The sequence below is a fragment of the Homo sapiens genome, chromosome 14, assembly GCF_000001405.40.
Source record: "Homo sapiens chromosome 14, GRCh38.p14 Primary Assembly".
Taxonomy (NCBI): domain Eukaryota; kingdom Metazoa; phylum Chordata; class Mammalia; order Primates; family Hominidae; genus Homo; species Homo sapiens.
This window is the reverse complement of record NC_000014.9, coordinates 63,281,248-63,293,721: the sequence shown is the minus strand read 5'-3', so window position 1 is coordinate 63,293,721 and position 12,474 is coordinate 63,281,248. Positions and strand designations below refer to the sequence as shown.

General features: G+C 39.2%; 1 protein-coding gene across 3 annotated transcripts in view; it reads right to left on the bottom strand.

Annotated features, from left to right (window-relative positions):
* Positions 1 to 213: 213 nt before the first annotated feature.
* The window catches only part of RHOJ (ras homolog family member J), an 89,066-nt gene continuing 76,805 nt past the window's right edge, over positions 214 to 12,474 (bottom strand). For 2 of the 3 annotated variants that reach the window (NM_020663.5, XM_011536993.4), the window contains 2 exons: positions 10,506 to 10,601; positions 214 to 2,844 (listed from right to left, as the gene is read on the bottom strand). In NM_020663.5, the coding sequence (NP_065714.1) occupies positions 2,698 to 2,844; positions 10,506 to 10,601 (243 nt within the window). In that variant the 3' untranslated portion in view covers positions 214 to 2,697. Of the gene's footprint in view, positions 2,845 to 5,404; positions 5,535 to 10,505; positions 10,602 to 12,474 lie in introns of those variants that run through there. The other variant, XM_047431613.1, reaches the window with a different exon arrangement.

Here is a 12,474-nt window from a genome sequence, read left to right as displayed (position 1 = left end):
ACCTGGTGATCTGCCAGCCTTGGCCTCCCAAAGTGCTGGGATTACAGGCGTGAGCCACTGCGCCGGGCCTCTATGTCTCTTCTTATCTTTGGTTTCAGAAGACAGTTTAATCTTATAGCAGAAAACACTTTTTAGTGAAACAAACTGGATCTTGCCGTGAAACAAGGAATAACTGATTAATTTGGCAGAATGACATCAACTTATTTAGGTTGCTTTGTTCTAGATTGTTTTATTCAGTAATTAGCTCTTAAGACCCCTGGGAGCCTGTGCTCTACCCAGACACTAACAACAGTCTCTATCCAGTTGCTGGTTCTGGGTGACGTGATCTCCCCATCAAGATCAACTTACTTCCTGTGGCCCATTAGGGAAGTGGTGACCTCGGGAGCTATTTGCCTGTTGAGTGCACACACCTGGAAACATACTGCTCTCATTTTTTCATCCACATCAGTGAGAAATGAGTGGCCCGTTAGCAAGATATAACTATGCAATCATGCAACAAAGCTGCCTAATAACATTTCATTTATTACAGGACTAAAAGTTCATTATTGTTTGTAAAGGATGAATTCATAACCTCTGCAGAGTTATAGTTCATACACAGTTGATTTCCATTTATAAAGGCAGAAAGTCCTTGTTTTCTCTAAATGTCAAGCTTTGACTGAAAACTCCCGTTTTTCCAGTCACTGGAGTGTGTGCGTATGAAAGAAAATCTTTAGCAATTAGATGGGAGAGAAGGGAAATAGTACTTGAAATGTAGGTTGTTTTTTTTTTTTTTTTGACAGGTTCTTTCTCTGTCACTCAGGCTGGAGTGTAGTGGCACAGTCACAGCTCACTGCAGCCTTACCTTCTGGGCTCAAGTGATCCTTCCACCTCAGCCTCCTGAGTAGCTGGGACTACAGGTATGTGTCACTACAACTGACTAATTTTTAATTTTTTTATAGAGACACAGGATCTCACTATATTACCCAGGCTGGTCTTGAACTCCTGAGCTCAAGCGGCCCACCCACCTCAGCCTCCCTAAGTGTTGGGATTACAGGCATGAGCCACGGTGCCTGGCTATCACGCAATTCTTAAGTGCTTATTCCAGTAGCAGAAGAGATTAGAAAGGCTGGCTTTTTCCAACAGTGGGAGCTTGAATCTGGAAAGTCTTAAAGTTGTTGTAATTTCACACTACTAAGAAGCACTTTGCTCATGCAACTGAAAAAAAAATTAAGTGCCTACCTGGGTGATTCCAGGGCACTTATAAGCAACTAAGACTAATTAGAAGTCCTCATAGCCTCTAATGAAAAGATAGGAAGTAATTCGCTCTATGATACAAAAATTCCTGGATGTTTGGAATTGTTTTACATCATTGGGCACAGGATTCCTTACTGGGAGCTTTTGCTTTCCCAGGGCCAAAGTCCCTGTTCTATGTCACACATTGTGGAGGGCAGGGGACAAATGGATACAGAGCTTGGTATCCACTGATATGGCTCCCACAAAGACATTTGGGAGGATGAGTAAGGAAAGAGAGAGGCAAAATCTCAGTACCAGTTGTAACTGGAAAATGTCATTTACATGGAATGAGAACTTACATGGGGCGAGCTGAGAAGCACTTTCAGTTGAAGCAAATAGAAAAATTAAGGCACTTTCCTTTACTTTTAGTTATTTTTAAACACGTATCTTTATGCTCAGATCTTTCTTTTATAACTGGGTTATAACTGGGGAGAATAAAAGGATCCGGGCATGAGAGAAAGTGAAATCAAGGGAGGAAGAGGGCATGCAATGGGGGAAGGGAGGAGCAGGAATGTCCACTTTACTGAATACAAAATACTGTAAAAGATGGATCCTGCCATATTCTTCCCCCAATCAACTTGGATGAAAAACAGAAATACTACATTCTTAAACACAGTTCATTTTTAGTTTGTCGTGGCAATACATGGAAAAAAATCAGGCCACTACTAAGCATCTATAGAGTGTATCTTTGGCAAAAATGTGGACCTGCAACAATTCAGATGGTTTTCTTTCAATTAGGTTCAAAAATCATGGCTCTGTAAATTTCCAAAACTTTTAAAGTCTTCTCATGTCTTCTTATAATCGGGCATTCAGAGGTACGTGTTGGTTCTAATAGCTTTGGTAGAAACATGCTGAAAATAGAAATGAATATAAAATGCCTTGTCTTTAGGCTAATTTGGTATGGATTAGTAAGGCCTGAGTGAACTGGAAATTAGTACATTTCTTGAAATAATACAAATGAATGTGAGACACATGGGTAGAACAGCAGATTCAGAAAAAAAGGTTAGTATTGTAGTCCCAAGTTTTATAAAAGACATCAAGTAAGGCCAGCAATAGAGGAATCAAGTTTCTTTTTCGGGTTCCCTGGGGTGATTTCCTATCAGCTTCACGTTCATGAGCTGGGGATTTGTAAAATGTGAGATGGCCTTTGACTTTGTTTTTGATGCGATCAGCAGCGGCACTGTCTGCAATCCAGGCCCAGCATTCTCAGACAGCGTGCAGTACGGATGCTTCTGGCTGGCAGGGAGGTCGTGGCAGTGGGCTGACTAGTGTGCTGTGTTGGGAGGGCTCAGAGGGTGATGGGGCAAGCCTCCGTGCAAAGGGAGTTCCTTTCTGGTCGTGCCCTCCTTTTTGGCTGGAGCTTGGCCACAGAGATTGGCTGCCATTCTCATCCCTGGATGGGGTGGAGGCAGGTCCCAGACAACCTCAGATAATTGAACAGCAGCTGTGACCCTCAGAACAGCGTTTCTTCTTTTTCTTGGGGTGGAAAATGGTGAGGATTGCTTCATCAAAAACCGCTTTGAGACCTTTCTGAGTCAGAGCTGAACATTCCAAGTAGCACTGTGCTCCGATCTTAAACACAAAAGAGAGAAAGGCATGAGAGATAAAAAAGAGAGAAAAGCACAGTGGTATCAACTCACTGCCCAGACAAGCACTTACTTCTGCCTGTCCTACAAACAGCCTGTGGGGTGGTTTGGATTATGTTTGTCTTTTTTTTTTTTTTTCCATTTCAATTTGTATCTGCTATCCTATTTTTTTTTTTTTGTATTTTTGTATTTTTTACTTTCCTTTATTTGCAATAAATGGTTGTGGATTACTTCTGGAAAGCAGTAAATCCTAAAATTGACCCATAGCCATTTATTCCTAAGAACATAAAAAATGCAAAGATCTAAAAAATTAGGAGACAATTCAAAACCAATGATATAATTTAAATATGTTTTGTGAAGAACAGGGGTGCATGATCTTGTTTTTCATATCCTCTCATTTGTAGGCAGAATGTGTAAATCATGTACAAGTGAAATGTATCTTCTTTGGTATGATAAAAGGCAAAGTGTCAGCTTGGTTGATAAAGCAGATAGAAAGAGAGTGAATGATATGGTTTTATAGGTCATTCTTGATTAAAATGTACCTCTTTTAAGGTATCCCTCAACAAGGTAATATCCAATTGGCATTATTATTTAGTTTTAACATACTTTATTTATTTATTTTTGAGATGGATTTCGCTCTTGTTGCCCAGGCTGGAGTGCAGTGGCACCATCTTAACTCTGCAACCTCTGCCTCCTGGGCTCAAGTGATTCTCCTGCCTCAGCGTCTCAAGTAGCTGGGATTACAGGCGTGTGCCACCAAGCCGGGTTAGTTTTTGTATTTTTAGTAGAGACGGGGTTTTCCCATGTTGGCCAGTCTGGTCTTGAACTCCTGACCTCATGTGATGCGCCCGCCTCAGCCTCCAAAAATGCTGGGATTACAGGCATGAGCCACTGCAGCCAGCCTTAACACACTTTAAAAGGCATATTTTTTAAAAAGTTAAAAAAAAAACCCACTAAAACATGTAACAATAACAATAAAACATGTAACGATAATCATAAAAGACATTTAATGCCAGAGACATCCTGTCAGTGTACAGTCTATATATTTAAATGATAAGGTATTTCATACTTGCATAGGGCTTCATTTTAAATATTCTGATGATTTCATACTATGGTGTGTTTGATAATCACAAACCTCTCATGAGAAATATAGAAATTCAGGCCAGAACTATAGATTCTCATTTAAAAATCACAGACCAGGGCAGACCATATTTAGCAGTCAGCTTCTTGTGAAGGAGACCTGCGGTTTTATTTGTTCATAAGCTCAGGAAGAGTCAATGATGTGATGTTGGCCTTTTACTATTAAGGACATCTGGAGAAATGACTTTAGTTTTTGATTCGCATTTTAAGAATCACTTTGAAAAATTAAAGCAGATTCAGAAGAGGTTGGCTAAATGGCGAGTTCCTGGAAACTACAGCAGACAAATGGCTAAAACAAGGTAGCAAAATCATAGGCCTATTATGCCCAATAGCTTATGTAAATGATAAAGTGGGGCTGGCGCAAGACAATAGGGAGAGGAGGGGACTATGGTGGGCTGTAAAGCACATGCCCCCTCTAGGGTGTGCAGTCTTATCAGCTTCCAAGTGGTAATGTTGGTTTACTATTGCCCATTTTTGTATTTTTCAAGAGGAGTTGGACATTTGGATTTTTTATTTAATATTTACCAGTTTATGAACTATTTACCATGGGCCAAGCAAGACACTGATGTGGGATATATTTGGCAGCAGCCAGCCAGTTTGCAATGTGTGGACTAAGTGAACTTGTGGTTTAGCTTAGAACAGAGCGGGAATAACCCCAGAGAGGTAAAATGAATTGCTTATGGGCACTCACCTAGAAAGTGAAAGAAATAGACCCAGAATCTGGGTCTCTTGATACATGTTCATTTCCTTGCTCTGTGGCAGTAACTGTGACCCCTATCACTCAGCTCTGCAAGAAGCTGGTCAAGTTGACAGTTAATGAAATGAGATTGTCCACTTATTTCAAAGGCCACAAATATGAAAACTAACCATCAAATAAAGTGGTTTTGGTTGGGCCCAGACACTATTTCCTAAACTCTCCGACAGAGATTATGCATTTTTCATTTTTTTCCTGACAAGAATGGTTACTGAATGAGCCAAGGGAAAATACCAAAAGAAAACGATGTTGGATGTTGAAAATCTATTTTATGGCTTTCATTTTGACCATGGTTTGGTTTTCAGATTAGAAAATAACTTTTTTAAATAATTAAAAACAGTTAGATACAAGAGAGGAATAAAGCGCAGAGAAAATTTTCCTAATAACATAATGAAATGCCTTCTATTGCATTTTGGGACTGTGTTCAATGCTTGATTCAAACACATGTGAAAAGCACATTAATCTAATGGCAACAGCGTTGCCAACTGAATGATTCTGAATGACTTGACTGTAACGTGGTGGCACTTGTCTGGAAAATACCTAGAAACTGCTGTAGCACCTTTCTATCTGGAATACCTCTCCACTAAGGATCCCAAGCCTAGGATTGATTCTGCCTGGAATTCCAGGACAGCTGGGCTGAGCTCACTCACACCTGGAGTCCTGCAGGAGGGGCAGGGCACTCCCCATCCTCCTGCCCCCAGTGTGCAGCTGACAGCATGTCAGGCTTTGCCTTTCGATGGAGCGGGAGGAGCCCAAGCTTGTCTCTTCCAATTCAGACATTTCTGAAGATAATGAAATAGCAGATAAAGGCATTATTGTGTAACTGAGTTAATATGACATTATGTTGTACTGATAGAAAAAGTAGTCATCAGATTATTGGTGTCATTTGGGAAACACGTGTGAGAAACAATCCAGTTATGAGGTAGGTATTGTTACCATGTGTCAAGTGCTATGAGGGTCGGAGAAGAATTCATCCCGGTTCAAGGAAAAAGCACAGCCAGATTGCTAAAAAAAATGATCTGTGTCCTCAAAGATGTGAAATGAAAAATTGTCTCAAGGAAATGTGGCCCTTATTACAGCAGCAACTTCATCTGCTCCTTGGAGCAAAATGACCTACACAGTCAAGTATTTAGAAGCCATCTGGGAGGGTTCAGGATTCAAGCCTCCTTGTTTAGATACACATGCAAGCAAACTGGAATGTGTTCTACCCAAATGACTTATTTTCAAGAAAAAAGTAGAGATTGAGGGTGTAAACTGAAAAAACACTTTTCTTATTGTTTTATAATAGCTAAAACTTATTATCTCAAAAGCAGGGACATTTATCAGCGATGTACAGAAGATACAAGAGTGATAAGAAAAAAAAAAAAAAACCGTAATGACTAATCAAGTAAAAGAAAACCTAGTACTTCTTCCATGTTGTTCTAGTTGGGGCAGGACAAGTTATAGAATAAGATAGAAAGTAACTGGAAGGGATAAAGGCAAAGAGATCTTCCCAGCTGTAGACATGTCTGAGAGGGCTCATGGATTTAACAGCAACTATAGTTTGCTGAGCTGGACCTTGTGGTACATGAGCTAATTTCATTGTCACAAGAACTTTACAAGGAAAAATCTGTCACCATCCTCATTTCACAGCTCAGGAAACTGATACCCAGAGAGGCTAAGTAACCTCCCTTATGGCCACACAACTAAGAAAATGGCAGAGATTCGAATTTGTCTGCCTCCTGAGCCAAAGTCTTAACTACTCTTTTGGGCTGTCTCTAGCAAATGTCATGAAATTGTGGCTGAAAGAGCAAAATTAATGAATAAATGGGCAAAGCTGTTACGGATATAGTAAAGGTGATGAGAGAAGGGAAGAAGAAGGAAGGCATGTCCTGTAAATGGAGAGAAAAGAAGAGAAGATGTTAGTGGAATAAACAGAGTAAGCTCGTATCTAAAGAAATGGCTAGTAGCAGAGTAGTTCTGTATTCCTCATTTGAGAATTAGCAAAGGCACACAGAGAAGGCAAATAGAGAGCCAAGAAAAAGAAAAAGAACCAAACAGGTTGTAAGAGAAAAGCCGCCATCTCAACAAGTCAGCATTATGATCAAATTGGTGAAAGAGGAAAAACATTTCTAGGCCAGACAGATTTGCTGCTGATCTTTGAAGACTATAATGCAGAGATGCCAATTCAAGGCTGGATAATGTAAAGTGTGTTACTTGAGTATAGGATAATATGGAGTGGTGGGGATTGTGGCAGACTGAAGAATACATGCTTAATCTAAGAGACTGTTTAACAGTTTCTGTTGATGAGGAAATGCTGGGCTAGAGTTGCTCGACCTTCTGAATTTCTTTTAGAGGCTAGAAATGTGTTTCCAAACTATTAAATGTTGGCCACTAAATTGCAATAAAAATATGTGTTTGGACTAATGAAAACATTTGTGGGTGAACTTTGGCCCGTCAGTTGCCAATCTGCTCCCTATGCTTTAAAGGATGCCTTTGCATGTCCTGGTCTCCCTGTCTAGAATTTTATGCCCTCCCCAGACCCCTTTGCCCACCTGAAAAACTTTTCCTCATCCTTCAAACCTGGATAAGATGTTACCTGGTTAAAGAAATCTCTGAAACCTCCTTCCGTGAATGTATTAGTCTCTCTCTCTTCTGTGCTACCTGGTACATTGCCCAGATGTGTGTTACTGTGTTTATCCAGGTGGCATGCTTTTGTTTGCCTGTCTCCCTCCTCTTCTGGCCTTTGTAACCCAGACACCAGTGGTGAAGTGACTTTCAATGACCAAGGGAGAAAGGGAAAATGGCCAGCACAAGGCAGGTGGCAGTGACTCTTCCAGTCAGGAAGAGGGCATTAAAGACTCCAGTTGATTAACGTGACTGAACATTGATGACAGGGTGTTTGCAGCAATTTTGCTGCTTTAAATCCCACCTGTGCATGTTAAAAACCCAGCAGGAAACTTAGCAGGTGCCAAGTTAAAGAGTGACAACGACAAAAGGCACAGTGTGAAGAAGATGGCCGGAGAGGGCAAAGAGAACCCAGAGATTAAAAAAGAAAAAATGGCAAATTCCTGTATCAAAAAATACCTTAGGAAGTCTGAACTTAGAAGATCATGTTTAGACTGTATTAGATAGAACTGGGAAAGAGAATGCACAAAGAATTACAATCTTAGAGCTAAACAGTGTAGCATCCAGCATAGCACCTGGCACATATTAGGTGCTTAATCAATTGTTGTTTAATAATTCTAGCAGCAATAGGGGCAGTTACAAATGTGTAAAAGAATGGGAAAAGTAGGCTGAGGATTAAAAACTACAGTAATAGAAAGAAGAGGGAGAATAAAAGAAGTCAAAGAATAATGAATATTTATAATAAATTAGTGCAAAATATGTAAATGTGGTTGACTTTGGAGTATAAAGAATTGTAAATGTGTATGATATAAAAATGTCCTTTGAAAATAAAACACCCTTTGAGACCAAAAAGAGATGTTAGGTGGAAAATGCTTTGGAAATGGAAAAGTATTGAACAGAAAGAATCAGATATGAAAAATCTGAACTTGCAAAGCCTTTAAGTTGGGGGGGAACTTTGCACATGAAAATAAGGGACTCCAGTATATAAAAAAGAAGCCCCAAACCTAAAGGTTTCTTTTCAGATTATAGGAGGGAGGCAGAAGAGCAGGTGGTTAAAGCACAGTTTTCTATCCTCACTCTGCCACTTGCTAGCTGGGCGATCTTAACCTCTCTGAGCCTCAGTTTCCTGTAGGAAAGTGGAGATAATAATATACACACCTCAGGGGGTTGCTGTGAGGATTAATTAAGACAAAGGCTGTAAGGCGCCTGGCACCAAGCCTAGCACATTATAAACACTCCATAAATGCTAGCTGAGATTATAAACTACTTGACAGAAAAGTCAGAGAGTAGAGAAACTTAAAGCATCTCTATAATTACATGAATTGTGATAAAACAAGTTAAAATCTTGCTAGGTTTTCTTCTAAATTGGATTTTGTAAGCTAAACATGATTCCGTCTGTATCTGAGAGCAGTTGCTAGGAGAAACTAGCAAAAGGCAATATAAATGGTGAACTCAGCCATTGTTCCAAAAATAAGTATGAAACGAGATGGGAGGCTTTGAAACGACTTCTTTTCAGACAGAAAAAAAACAACTTCCCCAATGAGAAGTGAGGCTAGGAAGCTGACGGCATGAAGGAACACAGAACGCGAGTTCCTGCAAGAAGCTGGTGCCGGCCAATGGGGACATCCTGGCTGTGAAAAATGTGTAGAAAGGAGCCACCTACAATTATTTATGGAGCTACATATTTAGGTATCTTAATGAGAGCATTTGAGGATGAATGTTTGAGGAGAAGGTAGAAGCACCTACAGGCATAAACCCATTTCACCCAAGGAAAGATACACAGTTGGAGGTCATTTACGTGACGGTCAGGTACACGAGTGGTGATGTCCACAGAGCTGGATTGGAAGTTTTTGACTTTGTTATTAGCTATGTGCTTGTCTTCTAAGACTGTTTCCTCATCTGTAAGCTGAGACCAACGCTATCTGCTTAAGAGGGTTATTATGAGGCTGAAGTGAGAGATATTATTAAGTACTTAGGATCCTAAGGACTCCATGGACGTCTGGCGCTAGTTAGTATTGACATTACTGTGCATAGAAGTAGGAAGAGTTCAGTATCTCGATCAGGTGTTGTGAGAGGTTCTCATGCAGGATACCTGTAAAAACATGATTGTATTTAATTCATTTCTAGTTGAGTGTATCATGCTTAGTTTTAGTGCCTGCAAGCAAGATTTAATAAGATAAATGCATACAATTTTGTAAGTGAAGAATTTGTAGTTAATATTCTTGACTGGCTTGAAGAGAGTGACTTCTAACTCTGCCTGCGGTATGCGTTTTACTAGGTTAGTCACTTAGAAAGTAAGATTGAAAATTTCCAAACCTCTGACCTGGGTCAATAGATTTATGACTTGATGAGGAGTCCGATTTAAGCTCTGGAGGTGTGATTTATCGGCCTCCTCTTGCATAAAGCACGTCCACCCTCTCGAATATTTTTCAGTGGCTGCTTTGCTCACATCTCGGGGTAATGGGGGAGGCAAAGACTTGGTGTCTGGCAAAAACTTTCTAAAGCATTTTCTTAACTCTTCATGTTAAGCTCTCAAGAAGGAAGAAAGGTCCATGAAAACAGTTCCAGCTCTGAGCTATTATCTGCCAAACAGCCACTTAGATCCCCAGCTAGTCACTTTTTGGTATCTGTTATCCTTCCAGATGCTGTTTGTGACACAATCCAGGCTCTCTAAGTGGCTATTCATTATATGGTGAGAAATACTGGACAAATATAACCCTGCCAGATGCTAACCCAAGTCTCTCCCAAGAAAATCACAAAATGCCTCTTATGGGGTTATTTAAATGAGCTACATCCATAATAAGCAGTGAGATTTACAAATATATATCTAACGACTCCCTATATTCATACTAAATATGGCAAGTAGATGTTCTAGAGGTTGCTAAATCAAATGATAAGTGCTTCAGCTGTTTAAATTCACCAAATTGCTTTCTGAATGAAAAACAGACAATGCTGGCTGACAAGAAGGCTAACCAAATGGCTCCTTCCAGCCCGACTAGAACAGAGGGGGAGAATAGAAAGCTTAGAGAAGATTCTAAACACATTGCACTTTAAAGCAAAACCCAGTGTTGCACACCCATTTCCAAAGCATACAACACACTCTTCTCTCAGCATACATTTAAAATGAAATTCAAATCTGACTGTACCGCTTTTGCGAGCTTCACACCATGCTCGTAAGTGAGAGGTTTCTCTTTCATATACAGCAAACGGGCCAAGGTTTTTGGGTCATCACGGAGATCAATCTGGCAAGAAAACACACGTGAAAACTTATTTGTTTTCTCAGGCCTTGCCAGATATTTTAAACTGTGACATCATAGAGTCTTTTTCCCTGTTAACATCTTTGAAGTTGCTAAATTTTCTTTAAGGAAGCAGATTCACATGCCCATGTTATGTCTAAAAAAGTAAAGCCATTTCTTTGTAAATGTACACAACAGACTTTCCTTACGTTTTCCCCTTCAAACAGTTACCCTGCAAGCTGAAGACTACTCGGATGATTCTGTTGCTATCTCAGATGTTTTTTCAAAATTTTCTATTTATTTCTAGATTCTACTTACAGGGCATGCAAGATAACCAATCAGTCTCATTACCTTTCAGTGAGGCCTTATTTGATCCCAAATTATATTACTCATTATTTACTAGTTTATTTCCTGGCTTTGAACCCATCTTTTTTTTTTTTTTTTCGCTTTTCCAAATAAAATCTTCATCCTCAAAGGAGGTATGAAGATTTGCTACCTGTGAGGATATTCTAACAAATGTTCTGCAAGCTCTGGAAGGCAAGTCCCTAAGAGAAGTTTTCAAAGGGTTTGCTCAAGATAAGCATTCATCTTTTCAAAGGTAGAACTTTGAAGATAGCATTTATATATCTGGATTAGATTTGATAATTTAATTACATATTTTGGTTGCTTTAAAGCCTCACTGTGTATGCGAATCCATGTGTTCATGAGTGGGTGTGAATGTGGGAAAGCAAGGGCTTGTGTCTTAAAGAAAGACCAATATATTAGGGTCCCTTTTATAAGCATATTACTCAGCTCTACTAATTGTGTGTGTGTGTGTGTGTGTGTGTGTGTGTGTGTGTGCATGTGTTTGTGTGTGTGATAATTGTTCAATTTTGTGCCTATCTCTAATAAAATCAGCTTGAATCACAGAAAGGTGATTGAATGTTCTGTCACATATTTGGCAGCAGGGATTCAGGCTCCATCAATATGGGCAAATATTATTATCTGGAATTCAAGGCAAAAGACTTCATTTAAACAAACGATTATCTTTCAGAGCAGAAGCGTTAACTATGATTACTCTGATTTATGGAGATGTGTATTCCTCTACTTTCTCTAAGTAAATACATCTACTGTGTACCTGTCCATATCTTCTTCAGGAAATATTTTTCTTTTCTCTCCTTTGTGTTAAAAAATTCTCTTGTTCAAAAAGAACATAAATGAATAATAGAAAGAAATAGCGTATGAAACAGATAACAATGAAGCCCTTCAGTATTCGTATATTCCTATGTCTTTGGGATAGTCATTTGGATTTTAAAATGCCAAAGAACAAAATCCATTTAAAACTATAAACAGTAACAATCCTTAATACATTTGATGTGATTGGCTTACTACTGGAAACTCAAACTATGGAAATTGATTAGCTTTCAGAACACTGTAAAGGCTTTCACAGTCGTAGGTTTGTTTAGCTGGTATATGTGTTTTAACTTCTTCTCTAAGATCTGGAAGACCAAGAGGTTTAAAAGGAATAGACAATGGTGAATTTTTATCTTCCTTCTCCGGAAGTGTAATTAAAGAGTTCCTGTCATAGAATGCCTATTCTGATTGCTGTGGTCACCTTGACACTCCTACCTATTTTGTGATTTTAAAACAACTGTGGGTTTCAGATATAAAAAATACTAGATAATATGTTCAATTGACACCCTCACCTCATTGCTCTGATTCAAGCCTGGCAAAGGGTGTCTATTTTAAAAATTACTTTGTTATTTAAAAAAAATCATAGAGATTAATTTTTGAAGGCCATATCAAAACTTTCTGCTCCATATTAAATAGCTCTATTATCTTTTCCACTATGGGCTAAATCATCACGCACACCTTAAGAACTTCTGTTCATAGGATTGAC